Genomic DNA, 20,399 nt, shown 5'->3' with positions numbered 1-20,399 from the left:
AGAAAAGGGAACTCCAAATCAAGCTGAATTGTGTGTGAGTCAGACTCTGGAGAAAATCGTGGGTAAAGGAAATGTGGGGGGCGGTTTCCTGGATTTCTGCTGCAGGAAGAAACCACCGAAGGGAGGAGGGAGGGCTGTTAGGGGAAGAAGTGAGGGAGGGGTGGAGGAGGAGAGCGTGGGCCGGGAAGGGAGGGAGAAGGGCCTCCTTAAGGCCGAGAGAGAGAGGGGCGGGGTGGATCGGTAGGAAGGCCTGGGCTTTCTTTGTTTAGTTGGTGTGGGCTGGGGCTGGGCTCAGTGAATGCGCCCAAGTGTGCACCGCGCGGTCAGCTGCCCGGCGAGGTAACAGCTGGCACCTGTGCGCGAAGTGCAGCCTGCATTAGCAGCATCATTATTCAGCATTAGAGCATTACAAAGATAATTACTGCGAGTTAGAAAAGCAGAGGACAGAGGGAATTGAAACCCCAGACCCCTTGGCTTATCAAACTCCCAGGTTACGAGTGTAATTTCAAGCAGCTTTGGGAAAGCCACCTCTCGCAAAGCTGTGAGTCTGCCACGTTAAAGGGGACGCTCGGAAGACCCCACAGCTGGAGCCAGTGGCCCAAGGGCTCTTTTCCAGGTTTCATCCTGGCTCAAAGATCAAATTAGTGTCATAGATAGGATGCTGAAGGTCATCACACTAACATTTTCTGGTCTCCAAAGCAGTTCTACTTAGACTATCAGAACCAGCCTTTTTTAATCTAGAATTAAATGGGTCAAATGGAGCAGAGCAGGTACTTTGGTCTTTGAGTAACAATGATAGCCTCAACAATTAACAACTGTCCAGCTCTTTTTGTGTCAGATCCAGTGGAAACACATTTATGAATTCTCTCCCTCAATCCTCACAGCAACCTTAAAAGGAGGGCATGATTATTACAGCCATTCGATAGATGGGAAAAATGAGGCTTTGAGAAGAGTCAGCAAAGTTCTTCAGCATTTTGCTCCCACATTTACTCTGTGCTTTTTCTTGGTCTAGAGCAGTGATCCCCAACCTTTTCAGCACCAGGGACCATTTTGTGGAAAACAAATTTTCCACAGATGTGGGGGGATGGTTTTGGGATGATTCAAGTGCATTACATTTATTGTGTATTTTATATCTATTATTGTTACATTGTAATATATAAGGAAATAATTATACAACTCAGCATAATGTAGACCCAGCAAGACCCTTGAGTTTGTTTTCCTGCAACTAAATGGTCCCATCTGGGGGTGATGGGAGACACTGGCAGATTTTCAGGCATTAGATTCTCATAAGGAGCATGCAACCCAGATACCTCACATGCACAAGTCACAATAGGGTTTGCACTCCTATGAGAATCTAGCACCAACACTGATCTGACAGGAGGTGGGGCTCAGGTGGTAATGGGAACAATGGGGAGCGGCTATAAATGCCAATCCTGGTCCATGGCCCGGGGGTTGGGGACCCCTGGTCTAGAGAAGACTCAGGCCTACTGTGCCTCCGATTTCCCATTGGTCAGACAGGAATACAATCCCGTCCTACTGCCTAGAGGTTGAGAAGTACATGCCTTTGATTTTGGATAGCCAGTAAATCCCTTTCCCAAAGCTTGAAATTTGCATGAATGCCAGCTCTCCAAACACACATTCTCTCTGCTTGTATCCTTGATTGGGTCAGAAGCAAATCTCACAAAAGTAAGTACTGTACTGTATTGTGATTTCTGGAAAACAAAGTATGTTTAAGAAGTGACTTCTTGGCCGGGCGTGGTGGCTCACGCTTGTAATCCCAGCACTTTGGGAGGCCGAGGCGGGTGGATCACGAGGTCAGGAGATCGAGACCATCCTGGCTAACACAGTGAAACCCCGTCTCTACTAAAAATACAAAAAAATTAGCCGGGCGTGATGGCGGGCGCCTGTAGTCCCAGCTACTCGGGAGGCTGAGGCAGGAGAATGGCGTGAACCCGGGAGGCGGAGCTTGCAGTGAGCCAAGATTGCGCCACTGCACTCCCGCCTGGGCCACAGAGCAAGACTCCGTCTCAAAAAAAAAAACAAAAAAGTGACTTCTTTTATAGCTTGGTATACTAATTAGTGAAAAGTGTTTCACAAACTGGTTCAGCAAAAAGTTTGCACTTGGCACATCTGGCTAGCTATGTGGGCCATAATAAGGTGAAGAACTTGGGAATCAACATTAACTTGAGCTTCATCTAGGCCAGTAAACTCATTTCCCATCTCCTGACTCAGACACAGTAGGCTTGAGTCTTCTCTAAACCCGGGGTTCCCTAACCCCCAGGCCACAGACTGGGAATTTTTTCTAACAACTTTTTTTTCTGACACTGTAGTGAATGAAGTCAGAGAGGACATTTAGTTTCTGGTGTACACGTTGAGTTTATACAATCAGATTATGATGCCAAGGAAGTACTATTATTAATAATATAGATCATAATTATTAATAGAAATGACTAACATGAACTGGGAAATGATGATGGGTCAGTTATGACACTGAATGCTACACATTCATTATCTCATTTAATCCTTACAATGGAAGCCCTGGCTTCTGCTCCTTCCCTAGTCCCCTCTCCACCCTCTAGCCAGGGAGCTCTTTTTTTTTTTTCAGGAACACATGCACTTTATTGAATGCCATTGTAGAAAAGTGTGTGAGGATAAAGGGCTGATACAGGGCGAGGAATGGAAGGTGGAGTGTGTGGGAGACAGGTCATGGTCAGAGCTCCTGGCCTGGATGCTGCCTCCTGTTCTATCAATAGACTTGGAAGATCAACACTGGGATGATGATAAACAGAATGATCATAAGGATGTGCAGAACCAGGGCCCAGATGTTCAGGCACTTGGCAGTGGGGGCATAGGCCTGGGTCCTGCTCAGGTCACCAACCATTTTCCTGTTCCTAGACTTCATGGAATAGGCGAATGCTATGAAGCCCAAGCAGCAGGAGTTCATGAAGCGGTTGTTAAACGGGGACCAGATGACATGGTCGGGCACAGAGGTCTTGCTGCAGATGTGGATCATGGCGGACGTTGAGGGAGGAGGGTTGTAGGGCACCCTCAGCACAGCCACCTCTTACTCCTCCCTGAGCATCTCATAGTTGCAGGGTGGCCGGTGTTTGAGGGAATGAAGAAGGTTTGGACCATGTGGTTCATGGTGTCCAGCAAAGACCAGCTGTCAGGAGCTCTTTTAAAAATGTGAATAAGGCATGGTGGCTCACGCCTATAATCCCAGCACTTTGGGAGGCCGAGGTCAGGAGATCAAAACCATCCTGGCTAACATGGCGAAACCCCTTCTCTACTAAAAAAAAAAAAAAAAAAAATTAGCCAGGCATGCTGGTGGACACCTGTAATCCCACCTACTCTGGAGGCTGAGGCAGGAGAATCACTTGAACCCGGGAAGTGAAGGTTTCAGTGAGCCGAGATTGCACCACTGCACTCCAGCTGGGGTGACAGAGTGAGACTCTGTTTCAAAAAAAAAAAAACTGTGAATGAGGTCAGGTCCTGCCCTTGTGTTAAAGGCTTCCAGTGGCTTCCCACTGAACTCAGGAAAACTCCAACTGCTTCTCTGGGCCTACAAGCCAGCACCACCTGGACCTGCCTCCTGCCAATTGACTCCATCAGCCCATAGCACATGCCTCCACCTGCTTGGCTTCTTCAGCCTTAAAGACATTCACACGTCAGGGCCGTTGCACGCACCCCTTCCTCTGCCTGCAATACCTAGCCCTTGCCTGGCTAATTTATTTTTTTAATTCTTCCATTTAAATGTCTCCACCTCAGGGAGGCCTTCCCTCAAATCAATCAAATCACCCTCGTAACCTATTCTTTTTCTTCTTAGCTTAACACCATGTAAAATTATCATTATCATTATCATTATTATTATTATTATTATTATGCCTCCTTACACCTCCATTTTTCTCCCTGATCCCTAAGAGCCAGGAAGTCAGGGATAGGCATTGCTCTCCATGTATCTTCAATGAATAACACTTTTGGACCATGCAACAATGTTTGCTAAATTAATCGAGAAGCACCCTCAGAGGTAGATACTATTATTATTGTTATGATTATGATTATGATTGTGATTATTTTGAGATGGATTCTCACTGTCACCCAGGCTGGAGTGCAGTGGCATGATCTTGGCTCAGTGCAACCTCCACCTCCCGAGTTCAAGCGATTCTCCTGCTTCAGCCTCCCAAGTAGCTGTGATTACAGGCACGTGCCACCACACCTGGCTAATTTTTTATATTTTTGGTAGAGACAGGATTTTACCATGTTGACCAGGCTGGTCTCGAACTCCTGACCTCAAGTGATCTGCCTGCCTCAGCCTCCCAAAGTGCTGGGATTACAGGCATGAGCCACCGTGCCCGGCTGTAGATACTATTATCCCCACTTTATAAATGAAGAAACTGAGGCATGAGGATGTTTAATAACTTGTTAAAAGTTACACAACTGGACCTGGGATGGGCAGGTGACTATCTCAGATTGCTACCATTGAATGAAACCAAAAACAAAATGATAAACTCCCATGATCTTCAAAAAATGTTAAAATCAAATCGGACTCTGTAGAAAATGAAGTTATCTTGTGGACAGTTTAAATTATTTACATAAAGGAAATATCTCCAAATACGTCAGAGATTAACACATCAGCTTGCACATTTATTCCAGCCACACGGGTTAATATTAACATATTCTGTGACTTCAGATGCAATGTTTCCTACTATTTCTGATTTCTTAAAAGGTTTCGAACTATTTGAGAACTTGGACTGTTCTCTTCAAACTGTATGGGCAGGTGGGCATTCCGTCCAGTCATTTCTGCCCTCACCTTAGGGAACAAGCCGAATGTGGTTTTATTGCACAAGCTTAAAAGCCAATGCCGCCACAAACCCAGTGACCTTCTAGCTACTTTCTAAATCTTTAAATAACTTAGAAACAGCCGTCACCCAAGAGAAGGGTGGAATTTAAATTAAAGAGAAGGGGCTGATTTTGTGCTTACATTGCTGAAGTCCCTTCAAAATCAAGTGTCCCTGGTTTCTCCAGACAGGAAGTAGACAGCTTTTTTCTAACAAGGAAAACACCATGGGTCTTATCTCTGTGTTGCTTTCACAGCTTAGATAAACCTGTGTGTCCTACAGAGGAAATGCAACAGGGTTCCAGCAAGAACCTGTATGCTGCGGGAGAAGCTCCCTCCAGAGAACTGAAGTCTTCCGTTTCCTTCCAGCGGGAACCATAGCTGCTCTGTAGGAAAATACAGGAATTTGATTCACATAGAACAAAAACCAACAACCCTGAGGGGTAAGGGGATTTTCCTGAAATATATGAGTTTCCCTGGTTTCACATGATACTGTGTATGGTTTATACTTCATGTACCACAGAAGGCTGAAAATGGTCATTTCCTGGCCCCTCCGGTGGTGGTTTTCCAGCCAGGAAAGCATTCTGACTAACCAGTCAATGCTATTTTTTTTTTTTTTTTTTTTTACTTTGAGTCTTCATGTTACTGAAAGAAAGCCGACTTGTCCTTGCAGAGGTTGCGGGAGAGGGTGGGGTTTCAGAGAAGCAACCTCGAGTTGGTCTTGTTATCAATCATCTCTGCCTATTGTGAGAGTTTGAACAGGCAAAACCTACCCACACACACTGGCGTGATATGCATTTTCAGTGTGTTACTTAAAGCATAAATGAGACGTCATCTGCTTTTCCATCAGATTAGGTTTGGTTTTTAAATATAAATATTCAGACCAAACTGAGATTTTTAGAACTTTGTAACATACAAACTTGATTGTGAAAATATAGACAAGAAAGATTAAACTATTTTTAGTGTTTTTAAGTACAAAACTCTGTCTTCACTGGTTTGCTTACTCTTTCATATGTTCAAATGTATATACATGAGCACCAGTGTGTGTAGTAAGGGAGTGGAGCTTTCAAATCTTGAGAACTCTACACAACGTTTATTTGCTGTTACACTTAAACGAGGTTGAAGTTCAGCAAAGGCAGGCAAAGCAGGCCTTCAGTTTGCTTTGGTTTCATAGACACATCGATCATTTCTTCTCTTTTGTGTGGTCGTTGTCAAAATTGTCTGCACATGGAGGCACCAGCAGGGCCCATTCAGCCCTTCAGGAAAGGCCCCCTGACACGCAGAAACTCTTAGTATACTAGATGCAATCAACTGTCTGTAGAAATGATAGACTCTGGGTGATAGTCACAGAATGCATGGCTTAGAGAAACTTAAGAACCCCAGGCCCAGTGGATGGTGAGCATACATTTCTAGGAAGGCAATATCATGTCACCAAATGGGTCCCTGGGCTGGTCACAGTGAATGAAAAGAACTAATCTCAAGAAAGACTCTTCCAAATTGAAATGATAAACATGGGGACTTTTAGAAAGATAATTTAATCCAGAAATTGTCACTCTTTCCCTGATACTGTTGGGGAGAAGACGGGGAGGAGGATAGCCTGACCATAGCTAAAATTATTATGTGCCCTGAGATGGACCGCCCTGCAATGGAGATGGATACAGGAGGCTCTTATGGACAGACACCAGCAGCCACCAGTGTTACACATATTCTTGACCATTTGGCTGGTATATTTTGCACTAAGTATGCATAAACTGGACTTACACTTCACATGTCAGTTTCTTGTGATTTTGATTAAGCAACAGGCAGTCCTAAGCCAAACACCTCCAGGTGCCCTAACAAATCATTTCTTGCCCTGAGAAGCCAGGACCAGACTAGAGACTCACTTTGGTAGTGCCCCTGGGAGACCAGTCTGACCAGCCAGGTGGCCCCCTAGATGACCTCTCTGGCTTCTCTCTAATTCAAACAAACAAACACACTGAAATGAAACCTCAGGACATCACAGGAACCCATGAGGAATCCCTGTGAACTATCATTTCTTTACAACACTCATACCAGAGTTGCAACTCAAACATCTGATGTTTAACATGATTCATTACTATTCATCAAAAGGCAGTTATTTTTCAATACAATTTTGAAAACATACACCCCTGATCAAAGTTTCTAAGGATTTTTTCCTCCAGGAATAAATGTTTGAGAAAGAACCTTCCTGAATAGACATACATATTTTTAATAGAGCAAGAAGCCTGGAATACGTTCCAAGAAAATTAAAGGAAATGCCATGCTTATCACTATAAGGTATGCTCAACGTGCAGAGTAAGACCTCTTAGGAAGTAGAAGAATGAATAAATGAATGAGTGAATAGGGTGCCTCTCAGTGAGGGAATGAGTGAAGACTGCTCCCACTGTTTTCTGGGGAGATATCTGTTCTCAGGATTTTTTCACTGCTGGAAGGAAAGTTGAGTGAGGTGATTATGCCAAGCAGCCGGGAGACAATTAACCCAGGTTTCCAGAGAACATCCTGGTCCTGTCTAGGCTGGTGCTCGCCTCAAAGGCTTCCTCATCAGCATAGAGTTACTCAGGTGATCCTTCAATTTCCCTGAAGGTGTTAGACGAGTAATGTAAAAATCTAGAAGAACTGAGGTCATAATGTGATAAGTAACAAAACTTTGCAAGCCTATTAGAGGGGAAAATTGGAAAGGTTGCAGCCAATTATTAATAAGACAGATGAACATGAGCTGTCTAGAAAGCACTTGGACTCTGGGAGACATTGCCAATGCAGAAATGCGCGGAGCAGAGGAGGGGACCAGGCAGCCCCAGACAAACCCAGCCAGGAGGAGCGTTTTGATCATTCATGTTAAGTGAACTAACATAAAATCAAGATTTTTTTTTTTTTTACATTTAGAAAAATTTGCATTTTCACCTCTGTCTCACACACATACGAAAGAAATTCTTCATTTTTAGTCTGAATCTATTAATCCAGGTCAGAAAGAGAAGGATAAAGTGATTGACCTCATCTAAAACACCAAAAAGTTCTGCTTTTAGGAAAATGAAATCACCACACTTCCATTGCAGAGGGTCAGGAGCCCTGGGTGCAATATTTAAGGAGGCCTTCACTTCAGGGCCCCCGCAAATGCAGTGCTGGTGCCTGGGTGAGGGTCTCCTTCAATTTTATGCTAGCCTGGTGCTAGTTCTGACTACCAGTAATCACAGTTGGGAGGGAGGAAGACAGCATGGTAGATAAAATGAAGATTCCTTTATTAAAATGAAATTAAAGAACTGTTGGGCTTCCCATTTTATTAAATTTTAGAACCCAAATTACAAAGCTCCTAAATTTCAATTACATTGAAGTAGTCACAAATCTATGCCATGGCCCTGTGTAAGACTATGCTTTTAGAAGCTTCTCTTACTACTCCCGTCTGGTTTAATAAAATTGTTTCTTGCTACCTTTGAAACCCATCTGCCATGCTTTGTACTCCCTGCAGGTGTGGAATAGCTGAGCAACGTCTTTTTTAACCTTTGTTTTTCTTTTTTTGGGGACGGAGTTTCGCTCTTGTTGTCCAGGCTGGAGTGCGATGGCGCAATCTCGGCTCACAGCAACCTCCGCCTCCTGGGTTTAAGCAATTCTCCTGCCTCAGCCTCCCAAGTACCTGGGATTACAGATGCTCAACACCATGCCTGGCTAATTTTTTTTTCTGTGTTTTTAATAGAGACGGGGTTTCACTTTGTTGGCCCAGCTGATCTCAAACTCCTGATCTCAGATGATCAGCCAGCCTCAGCCTCCCAACGTGCTGGGATTACAGGCGTGAGCCACTGTGCCCGGCCAACCTTTGTTTTTCTAAAAGCATCTCTTGGTCACCTTTTAGCTTTTCTTACCCTCTTTCACTTTTTCTTGTCCAACTCATCTTCCTTCAGTCACTGAGGTTGTTGGTTTCTAGAGTTTTCATCCAGCCATGCATCCACCAGTGGTATCACCTAGAGTATAAAAAAAGCACATTGCATCTACTCTATAAAGATCTTTCTTTCAGCAAGTGTTATGTTAGGTTTATATAGCATAGACAGAGATAATGAAGGCTGGTCCTTTAGGACAAATACCAAATGTGTTCTTTAGGCCATGAAGTTCTGATTGTTGTACTCTGAGCAAAGCCACCAATAGTCGTACCTTCTATGTGGGTCCCTTAATTTATAACACAAGATGTGGCTCTATCATCCTGCTGGATCATCCTAGGCAAAGGCATCAGACCTGAAGGAAACAATCTGGAGGCTGGTTGGTGGCTCTGAGCTGGCTTCCCATGACCCTGCTGATTAATAGGGACACTCTGTCCTAGATGCTAACAGACCCAATTCGATACACTTCCAGGGAACTCAATGTGAGACTGTAAAAGAGGAACAACAGCAGAGTAAGCAGAAATAGGAGGAGGCTCAGAAGAGAAAGTAAACAGGAGGCTTGAGGGCGTGGAAATTGGGAGGCAGTAAAAGGCAGAGTTAGTATAGTGAGGAGGTAGAGAAAAGGAGGCGAGAGAGACTGCATGGTAGTGACTGCAGAAACGGAGGCAAGAGAAGTGGGAACGGAGAGGATCTGAGAAGCTGACGTAGGTCGTTTTTGCCTGTGAGCATCCACTGCCATTTCTTCAGCCACAGCAGCCTGGGACTCCTTGGGTCCCCCACCCCGTCCCGCTCTCAGGCCTTTTGTTTTTTCAGGGAGTGGATTGAACCCAGCATAGCCCCCTGCTCCAGGCCCAGGACTGGCCAATGAGAGCACCACTCACACCTTCGTGGCCTGGCCTGGTGCTGGGATTAGCATATGACCCAAACCAGGGTAGCAACAGCCAATGGAACTGGCTTCCAGAATGCCCATTGTAACTCTCTGCAAAGGGACACTCTCTTTGCTGTAGTGGGCAAGCTAAAATTGCCAGGAGCTGACATATGGAGAAAGTGGGTCCCAAAGTGAAGTCAACCCAGAGAAAAGCAGAGCTGAGAGATGGAAAGAGAAAGGCTGAGTCACAAAGGGGGACTACCTCTAGATGGCTCAGATACAAGAGGTGCCACCAAGGGACGCCGGTGGAATGAACATCGCCTGGCACTTGCTTCTGAGGACAACATAACTGGATACAGCAAGGAAGGAATCAGCCGCCTTTATTCCTAGCATATGTATATAATTCCAAAACAATGCCTGCTGAAATAAAGACGCTCAGAACACAGTTGCTGCTTAGCCAGTGATGGTTATTTTTATGAGGACATGATATACTTATTATCGCCCAGTGGTGTCATATCTCACACTCTCAGGGAACACTCACAAATTTTCAAAATTACCCTTGAAAACCCCTTAGGAGGCTGCCACATTGCAAAGGGGGGATTCTCCAAAGCCCAAGACATCCAGATTTTCCTCACTGCCAGGCAGATCACTGCTTCTTGAGCAAATCACCAATTGGAGTTGTTGGTCTCCATGTCGAGGCTTGTAGAGAAACCACCTCTTTCAATGCTAGGGTCACTCAGCTCACACCATGGGAGGCCCTTGGGAACAGAGACCCACTGGGGGGATGACAGACTACCAACTCCCAGCTTAGCCTTCTTCCCGGGGTGTAGTTCATTGAGCAGCACCCACATGTTAACTGCCAGGAAAATCTATCTGGAAAGTAGTCTGACACTTGGATTGTCTCTCCCCCAGCATGTTAAGAAAGCTGCATTTTTGGAAAGTAAACTTTGTGGTAATTCTAAAAGAGTTCTTGGATTCTTCAAAGTGTAAGAGTGTAGCAACGCAAAGGTTGGCTTTCCGCAAAAAACTGTAATAGTTGATGATAAAACCAACACACGCACCATTTCCTCCCTGACCACCTCTGACCTTATTAAGCGAGCATCTTTGTGAGAGCTCTGCCCGGGGGAAACGGTGTGGCTAAAATTCTTACCACTGGGACACACGAGGTAAAGGTATTGATTATGTCCTCCCAGAGCCAAAGATTCAGCTTAAAGGAAGAAGCTTGATTCAGTTAGCACACACATTACATTCTGAACGCAGAATAGATGAAGATTGGATATCATTTGAGAGGGCACAGGAGGACCTACAAAAATTGAGACTACAGAGTATTGGCAGGGCTCGGGGGTGGAAGGAAGGGGCTTGGAATGAAGAGTGAAAGTCACTGAAGGCAAATATTCCAATTGACTGGATCCACACCTGGCACCTGGGAGGATTAAGGGGGTGGGGCAATGAGTAGAACCAAAGAATATTCCTTTTTATTTTTTTTTAATTTATTTTTTTCTGAGACAGGGGCTTGCTCTGTTGCCCAGGCTGGAGTGCAGTGGCATGATCACAGGTCACTGCAGCCTCAACCTCATGGGTTCAAGGGATCTCCCTGCCTTAGCCTCCCAAGTAACCAGGACTGCAGGTGTACATGCCCCGGCTGATTTTTTTTGCTTTTTTTTTTTTTTTTCTTTTTTGTTTTAGAAACAGGGTCTTACCATGCTGCCCAGGCTGATCTTGAAATCCTGGGCTCAGGCAATTCTCCTTCCTTGGCCTCCCAAAGTGCTGAGATTACAGGCATGAGACACCACGCTCAGCCCCAAGGAACATTCTTGACAGGCCAGAAATAATCGTCCAGAAGGCATGGGACCCTATTATTTATTGGTTCCTGGTCTCTCTCTACTCCTTCTCCCTGTGAAACATAGCAGACTAATATAATTCTTAAGAGTTCAGGATCTGAGTCAGATAAATGTAGATTCAAATCCTGACTCTGTCACCTGGTAGTTGTATGCCTCAAAGCAAGTTATTTCACTTCTCTTTGCCTCAATTTCCCCATCCTGCCAATGAAGGTGATAATAATTCTTCATATCTCAGAGATTGTCATGAGGAATATAAGAAATAATGGCACATAGAAAGTGTTTGGTAAATATTTGCTGCTATAATATTTTTACCATCCTTAATTATTTATGCAGTGTCTGTGATAATTTACGTGTGTATAGATTATTGAGAAGCCACCATTCTCCTCTGGGGATGCCAAGGCTGTATGGAATGCGTAGGATGTCACTTTGATCATGTGTGTATGTGTTTACAGTCAGCAGAAATTAATTCACATACTAGATGTGTCTTTTACCGCGGGCTTCTGGGTCTTGCTTAGGAAAGACCTTGAGCAAAGGAAGAAAGAAGCTTCAACGTCAATAAGTGAATTTTAATCTTCATCAGAGCGGGCTCTTATTCAAATGAAGTCAAATGACATGTGAGACTTCTTGGACCAGCCTCCCTTGATAGGCAGGTGGAAGCTTTGGTCTTTACATTCCACGAGTGAGTTTGTAAGGAACTGGCCTTTTCAAAGACCCCAAAATCACACCAGAAGGGAAACATCTGGAATATCTTCATAACAGCCTCCCTCACACACACACTTGTTGAGAAGTGGTTACTCTTCTTTAGAATTTCATATTTCTATTTGAGGATGGATTTTCCCAATGTTGGCCCCAATAGGGAACTTGCTCTTGTTTTTGAAGAATCAAGAGACATCTTTTGATAAGAATACCACATAGATTGTCTGCTAAATATGTTTTCTGCTGAATACCCAATTAATGGTGGTTTGCTCTCATCTGGGTTTTGCATAAGGAGATTTAGATCCATGAAATCATCTACTCATCTTTTAGAAAGTAAACCGGTTAAGAAAGTAGGCTCTGGTAATAGGTAATATTCATTACCGTTTCAAACAACTCTTTTTTTTTTCTGTTTCATCACAGTCCTAATTAATTTCATGGCTCAGGTACACGAAGAGATTTAAAGCGATGTTTATAAAATGAATTAGCCTCTCCCTCATCTTATTTAGAGTTCTCCATTGTGAATATACTCAAATTGTAATGGAGAGGCAATTTATGAGAAAGCTCTCTGGTGTCCTTGATTCTGTATCCTCTAGAGGATTTATTATTTCAGCTCTCCTCCCTTGGGGCCAGAAGACAGACCATGTGGCTGAAAGACAGCAGCTTTGATGCTTTTCATTGAAAAAGAATTGTTCTGGAAACATCCCATTTGGGATATTTTGATGAGGCTGAACAGTGGGAGTATGGAGAAGAGAAACGGGGTACATCTATATCTCGTTGGTACCAATGCAGGTTTAACATGAATGAGGTGGCAAATCTAGGTGTGTGAAGCTGTACGCAGTCCTGCACAGCCCTGGAATGGGGCTGGGGAGACCTAGCTCTAGTTCTGCTTCTGCCCCTATCTCGCCCTTGACCCTGGAAAAATCACATATTCCCCTGGTCTCCTACTTTCTCAGCAGTAAATGAGGTGGGTTGAAACAGATGAGCTCTAAAGTTTTTTCCAGCCATGAAATTCCATGATTCTGGGTACAACTGTAAAACTATTCATTTGGCTACTTCTTATTTCCACATATCTTTGGGGTTTGGGTGGTTGATTACATATATTCTCATCTTTGAAATTATTTCTCTTTGCTTATATTGATCCATATAATGATTTTAAAAAATATGGTTAAGCTAGTGCCTCGAGCTGTGTCCAATAGGCAGCCAGTGGTCACGTGACTATTTACATTTAAACTTGTCCTGCCATTAAGCTGGCTGCATTTCAGGTGATCCATGGCGCATGTGGCTAGTGACAACTGTACAGAAGAGCACAGACCCAAAAAATTTCTGTCATCACAGAAATTACTCCTGGAGAGCACTGTGATGAGGAGGAAACCCGTTTCTAAATAAGAGACTGGCTCAGGGGCACAAGACTGGCTTCCTTCCCGGGGGATATTCTTCATTCTAATCCTAGTTTGATAAATCATGATCTCTAAAGCCAGTCCCATAAGCAAATACTCAAATTTTTGGCAGAATTTAAGGCATCCCAAAGGCCTGTTTACAAATACCATCCCCCATCCCGCCCGTGTTGCCCACTCTCTGTCTCCCTCACCTCCCCCTCATTTCTCTCCTACCTCCGCCAGTCACGTACAGGTAGTGCCAGGGCCACAACCAGTATCCCTGATATACCAGCTCAGAAAAGAGGCAGCTGGAGAGGACAGAACATAGCATTTTCCCTCCATTCAAATGTGCCATTGCTTACAGGGCACAATATCCTTTGTTTGTGTGTTTCTTGTTGTTTTGTTTAATGAAATATTACTGTGAAATATTACTTTTAATGAAATTTTACTGTGAAATATTACTTTTCAGTAGTAATATTACTTTTCGGAGGCCCCTGTGTGGGTTGGTGAAAAAAGGAAAGTTGGCTGTCACACGGGTGATGAGCATAAACAGCTCTTTGTGCCTTTTGAGTTGGATTTGAAAAGAAATATATTAATTTTCCCATCTTCCATGGCTCTTAAACAGAGACTTCAGAGAGAGTTTTTGGTAGTATATTTAGGCAACAACTTCTGGTTTCAGTGACGAGGCAAACACCATATTCTGCCCCTCCTAAGCCTAGCGAGTCTCCCGGGTGAGCTGAGTGTTGCCTAGTCCCTGCTGCTCCCACCACCTTATGCTGCTCAACTGAGTTGAGGAAGCAGAAGCTTCACTCTGCAGCTTCACCTCAACATTCCTTTTGGTCGCTGTGGCCTACAACTTCCCCGTGTCTTTGTTTCTGTCCCATGAAGGGAAAGAAAGTGGCTTACAGGGTACAGTTCTGGAGGCAGGACAGTCCAAGGTCAAGGGGATGCGTCTGGTGAGAGCCTTCTTGCTGTGGGGACTCTCTGAAGAGTCCCAAGGCTGTGCAGGGCATCACATGGGGAAGAGGCTAAATCTCTCTTTTCTGGTTTTAACTTTCTATTTTGAGATAATTTTAGATGCAAAGATGAGTTGCCAAAATAGTACAAAGTGTTTCTGTATACTCCTCATACAGCTTCCCCTTTGTTAACCCTTAAGTAACCATAATATAATTATAAAATGAAGAAACTCGTATGATTCTGTTAGTCAAATTGCAGACTTTTATTTGGATTTCACCAGTTTTTTCACTAAGGTCCTTTTTCTGTTCCAGGACCGACTCCAATGTCCCACCTTGCATGTAGGTGTCATGTCTCCTGCTCCTTGCCCATCTGTGACAGTCACTCAGCTCAGTCTTTCCTTGTCTTTTGAAAAATGCTACTCAGGTATTGTGTAAAATGCTCCTCAGTTTGTCTGTGCCTGATGTTTTCTCATGACTCGACAGAGGTAATGCATTATTGGGGAGATATTACAGAGGGGATGTGGTCTTCTCAGTGTATCATATTTTGAGGTACCTGATGCCAATATGTCTTATGACTGTTGATGTTAACCTTGGTCCCTTGGTCAGGGTGGAGTCTGCCAGGTTTCTCCATAGTAACATTATTACTTTTCCCTTTGTAATAAAAAAGGAAGCAGGGAGCAAATGAGATAATTTGAGGCTATGTAAATGTCCTGTTTCTTTTCAAACTTTCTCTCACTAATTTTATCATCCCTCAGTACTAAAATTGCCTGCAGCAATATGAATATCTGAGTTGTTCTACACTATTGGTTTAATAACAAGCATGGGGCATTAAGAAAAAAAGCACTATGTTTTATATATATATATATGTATATATACACACACATAAATATTTGTGTATATACACACACATATATATACACACACACATATATATATACACACACACATATATATATATTTTTTTTTCTTTTTTTTTTTTTTTTGAGACAGAGTCTCACTCTGTTGCCCAGGCTGGAATGCAGTAGTGCAAACTTGGCTCACTGCAACTTCTGCCTCCCTAGCTCAAGAGATCCTCCTGCTTCAGCCTCCCAAGTAGCTGGGACTACAGGCACACGCCACCACCCTCAGCTAATTTTTGTAATTTTAGTAGAGATGGGGTTTTGCCATGCAGGCCAGGCTGGTCTCGAACTCCTGACCTCAGGTGATCTATCCACTTCAGCCTTCCAAAGTGCTGGGATTACAGGCATGAGCCACCGCGCCCAGCCAAAAGCACTATATTAAATATATTTATCAATTATAAGGCCCACCTTGATTTCAGAAATATTGAAATATGAAAAAAGGAGAGGCATTTCTGAATGGTTGCAATTCAGCCAGTTTGCTGATGCTGAAAGTCTCTGAGGCTTTCAGCAGTGGGAGTAGTTCCCACGCCTTCTCAGGCCCCTGAGTCTACACTGCATTCTGACATAACCCTTTTATGGAAGCAACTGGGTACAGTGGATAAAACAGGATGATAGTTCTCCATAGGTGTCTTTTGAAACACCCATTTCAAGAAATGAGAACTCACGACCAAGGAACACGCAAATTCTAAGAGTTTGTGTCATCTCCAGCTTGTAGAGATTCTCAATGCACATTAAACAGTCTTACATTCCCTGAGGCATCTGGCAGTAAAAAAGCATGTTCAACTTTCTTTAACTTAGAGTCCAAACCTGGTTCTTGGCAGGACCCCTTTTTTCATGTGCAAACACTGGCCAGCAGGGACTGTGTGCCAGCAACGTGTTTGGGGAGTCCCAGAGGAGTGTGCGGGTCTGGAGTCAGATATCAGGAGTCTGGCTCCTGCTCAGCTCTTAGTCATGAAACCGTGCTCCCCCTCAGCTCCCCTTCTTTGCTTCCCTTCCAAGACTCACTGATGTTTGGGTCCTGCTGCTAGTAGTCCACTGACATGCTCAAAAAAGGAGCTGAGTGCCCCATTGTAACCCCCGATTCTCGTAACTCCTTTTCCTTCCCTCTCCTCTCTTTTATTTATAAAGATGTGTTCTCTCCTGCTTTTCCTCTACCTCTCCACCCACTTCTCCAGTCCTTTCCTATTTAAAAATTTAGTGTTGCTGGTCCTAGGAGTCCACAGTTCTGTCCACTATCCCTAGCCAACCTGGTTGGCTCTCAGGCCAGCAACCACCCTTCCTGTGCCTATGAATCCCAAATCTGCATATCCAGGCTAGACCCACTCTCTTGGTCTGTAGATCCAACTTTCCAACCCAAATACCTTTCAAAACAGACCTTATGGTAATGAGGAGAATCTGGGTTTGGTTATCATGCCTAGTTGGGGCAGACAGCAGGAATGCCTCAAATGCCCCAAACTCCGAAAGTCCATAACCAAACAGTATGTTTTCTTCCTGCACCTGTCACTTCCTCCTGTATTTCAACCTCAGTCAATGGCTTTCCAGCTCAGACATTCAAGCCAGAAACATTAGGGTTATCTTTAATTCTTCCCTTTCCTTTGTACTTCATATTCATTTTATCGCCAATATTAATAAATTGTGCTTCCAGAATATTCTCGGGCCAATCCCATCCATCGTCGTGACCTTCATGTTTCTTCTGACCCTTGTAATCTCTCGCCATTGGCAATAACTCACTTAACTTTCCTCCTGATTATGGCCTCCTCCCACTTAAAACCATCTTCCAAAGTTCTCTTTCTAAAACAGAAGTTTTGTATTTTTTTCTTGCTTGCTTAAATGTCTTTACTGGTTCCCCTTAGAAGATAGATATCCAGCCTAGTTTTCAAGATCTTGAAATCTATTCTCTACGTCCCTTTTTAGCTAGGTTGTCCTATTAACTTCGGACTATTTGATATTCCCTGACTATGCCATCAAGTTTAATAAATACTTACACTCTAGAATTCTCTCTTTACGTGTCCCTCATTCTACTCGTCACTTTTTCTTTAATAGGCCCTTATTTAGCCTTCAAGACCCAATGCAAATATCATTCCTTCTACTAAGTCTTCCTCAGTTATCCAAGTTGAAATGAATGATCTTCTCCTCTGCGCTCTCAGGGCCTCATACTTATTTAGATGAGTTTCTCACACAAGACTCTAAGCTGTATAATCTTAGGGACTTTATTTTATTCATCTATCTATTCCCAAGGCAATAGCTACTCAATGAGAATTTTTTGAATTGTTGATGTATCCCGTGACATGGTGTAGTATATATGAATCAAAGTTTTGGACAATCCCCTTCCTAGTTTTAGGGAATTCCCACCTCACAAGTTTTTTGAAAAGCAGAGCCCAGTTCCCATTATCAGAGCTGAAAGTGCCAGGTTTCCTTGGCCTCCCTGATTGCTAGGGCAAAGCCATGACTCAGCTCCACCACGAAATTCTCGTGCCCTGCCCTAGGAGTCAGAGTGTGGCACAAGGGGGTGGCACCATAAGAAGTTCTCCCTGGTGCAGTAATGGTTGTAGCAAGTCAAGATCCCAGGATAACAGATCCCATAGTGCTGGTTCTTGTGTCTCATGAACAAGGTGTCAGATGTGGGAGACAAGAGCCATAATCTTCACTGGATACGTTCTGTGATCTGATTTGGGGGAATTATTCCTTGTTCTCTCACCCTTCTAGAAATTCTCTGAGATGTGTGGTACCTTGTTTAATGAGTTTCTTTTCTGTTTAAATGGACCACAGTAAGTTTCTGCTGCTTACAACTAAAAATGCCCACAGATGGGGAAATTGGAACCAGGAGTGGTTATCAGAAACAGACCTTATGGTAATGAGGAGAATCTGGGTTTTGTTATCATGCCTAGTTGGGGCAGACAGCAGGAAAAAAATGCTGGATGTGACTCTGTCAGGTCTTATGGCTTGGTGGCAAAACGGTTCATCATGACCTGTCATCCTTCAAAAAATTCCCGTTCCCTCACAGCAGGCTTCAGCGGGAACATGGGTCCCTGCCAACAGTGCTATGAAGGTTATGAGGAATTAAAGATCTAAGGGTGGGGTGGTTGTCTCTACAGAGGGGGTCAACTTAAAAAAAAAAGCTCAAGTATCTAAATTCTTGACTCAAAGCATCATCTTTAAACTTGGAATTTTTATAGGAAACTCTTATTTCTTGCAGCCATGGATATGAGGAGGTCAAAAACTAAACTCAAAGTTGGATACTGTATGCTTATGGATTCACAGCTTTCCTAGGTCTCTTATGCAAAATGTAGCACATTGATTAGGAATGAGTAAAAGCCTGCGATTGAAATGGGGACTTGCAGGGATCCAGTGGACTCAGAGTGCGAAGATCCCCTGGCTCCCCCTGAGTTCTCCATGCAGACAAGGAAAGTCCATCCTGTCTTTTGCAACAAAGCTATTGCTATCTTCTGGAAGAACCTCCCCAACTACTTCATCTGGGCAAAAATTATCCTTACGACCCACATCTACAACTTTCTTAGACATCTAATTAGCTTTTTAAGTAGAGTCAGGTCCCAGAATGTTCTGGAAGGCCAAGTAGAATACCAAATCTTAGCCCCCAAAAAATTGTACACCAAAGAAGTAATTTAGTTTAACACAAATCTGGCAAACACATATGAAGATGTACTGTGAAGAGCCACATCAAAGTGGGAAGTATACACCTGTAGATTGAACTGAATTTCACAGGTATAGGTATATTTTCCAGAGAGTCTGGATTCTTTGAGCTAGCCCAGACAGTTGGGAACAAATTCGGTTGTTTACTTGTTTAGTCAGCAGAAACCTGTACTCAATGATAGTCCCTGCTGAATGAGATTGAGATGCCAGGCATTAGTTGATAAAATATAGTTGAAAGATTCCAAAGACGTGGGGGTTGGAGAGCGAGAAAGGATGGGAGCAGATTTATCATGAGCAAGTAAGTGAAACACATTCCCTCAAACCTTACTTACTGCATCTCCAAAGAGGGTCCCAAGAAAACACTCCCTTCACCAAAGCATTGAGAGATGCATGGATCAGGTGAAGGCTAATGCTTTTTATAGCATCATGGTTCCCATTTTCTACAGGATAGATTGCTGATGCTCTTAGCAAGCACCACCTCCTGGAGACCCAGAACACCACTGTGGTCCTCTCATCAAAGAGGGAGCTTTTCGGGAGTGAGGTAAGAAATAGAGTTTCAACCAAAGTCCTCTCCCAGGAGATTCAGTGGAATCCTGAATCCTGAACCCTGAACCCCCACTGACGGCACGTGTCATCTCAATAATCAGTCCAGTCCTCATTTTAGCTCTCCCTTAGAGGTGGAGTAAAGGCTACAATGGTGGAAGAAATGAATGGAAGTCCTTGACACATGCTCTCCCTAGCAAATAGTAAGTAAAAAACTATGTTCTACCCTTGGGGGAACTGCAGAAATGGTTCTTTTTTTTTTTTTTTTTTTGAGACACAGTCTCGCTCTGTTGCCCAGGCTGGAGTGCAGTGGCACGATCTCGGCTCACTGCAACCTCTGCCTCCTGGGTTCAAGCAATTCTCCTGCCTCAGCCTCCTGAGTAGCTGGGATTATAGGCACCCACCACCACGCCCAGCTAATTTTTTTTTTTTTTTGTATTTTTAGTAGAGACAGGGTTTCACCATGTTGGTCAAGCTGGTCTCGAACCCCTGACCTGGTGATCCACCTGCCTCGGCTTCTCAAAATGCTGGGATTACAGGCATGAGCCACCGCACGTGGCCCAGAGATAAATTCTTTTGCCAAAGACTTGAAAGACAGAGGGGCTATACCATACATAAATCAGCCAGAGCCAGTTTCTGTTGCTTCTGACTAAGGATGTTCATTGATAAAGGAACTGGAAACAGAAGTAGTTATAAGCAACAGAGCTCAGGGTGATGCAGAGGATAAAAGCACTCTGGAGAAGGAATGGCAGTGGATTATCATAAGGCTAATAAAATGGTTGTTCTAATTGCCACCACTGTTCCAGATGTGGTCTCTCTCTACTGAAATAAACCAACTCAGCCCCTGG

General features: G+C 43.8%; 1 long non-coding RNA gene and 1 pseudogene across 1 annotated transcript, besides 3 other annotated features; both read right to left on the bottom strand.

Annotated features, from left to right (window-relative positions):
- On the bottom strand, positions 2,603-3,164 carry IFITM3P8 (IFITM3 pseudogene 8; annotated as a pseudogene).
- Positions 4,624-9,512, bottom strand: LOC124901951 (uncharacterized). The gene is made up of 3 exons (XR_007060924.1): positions 8,996-9,512; positions 8,710-8,808; positions 4,624-5,223 (listed from the first exon to the last, which is right to left on the bottom strand). It is a non-coding gene; the product is annotated as an uncharacterized LOC124901951 (long non-coding RNA).
- Positions 5,705-5,794: an enhancer, noted in NCBI's record as "active region_27430". NCBI's record gives its function as "activates an Ori minimal core promoter by ATAC-STARR-seq in GM12878 lymphoblastoid cells {active_cell/tissue: GM12878}" and the evidence as "EXISTENCE:reporter gene assay evidence [ECO:0000049][PMID:35858748]".
- Positions 5,815-5,864: an enhancer, noted in NCBI's record as "active region_27429". NCBI's record gives its function as "activates an Ori minimal core promoter by ATAC-STARR-seq in GM12878 lymphoblastoid cells {active_cell/tissue: GM12878}" and the evidence as "EXISTENCE:reporter gene assay evidence [ECO:0000049][PMID:35858748]".
- Positions 9,317-9,376: a silencer, noted in NCBI's record as "silent region_19230". NCBI's record gives its function as "represses an Ori minimal core promoter by ATAC-STARR-seq in GM12878 lymphoblastoid cells {active_cell/tissue: GM12878}" and the evidence as "EXISTENCE:reporter gene assay evidence [ECO:0000049][PMID:35858748]".
- Positions 9,513-20,399: the final 10,887 nt, after the last annotated feature.

The sequence above is a fragment of the Homo sapiens genome, chromosome 8 (genome assembly GCF_000001405.40).
Source record: "Homo sapiens chromosome 8, GRCh38.p14 Primary Assembly".
NCBI lineage: Eukaryota > Metazoa > Chordata > Mammalia > Primates > Hominidae > Homo > Homo sapiens.
Note: the sequence above shows the minus strand (reverse complement) of the source record. Positions and strands in the feature narration are given on the sequence as shown.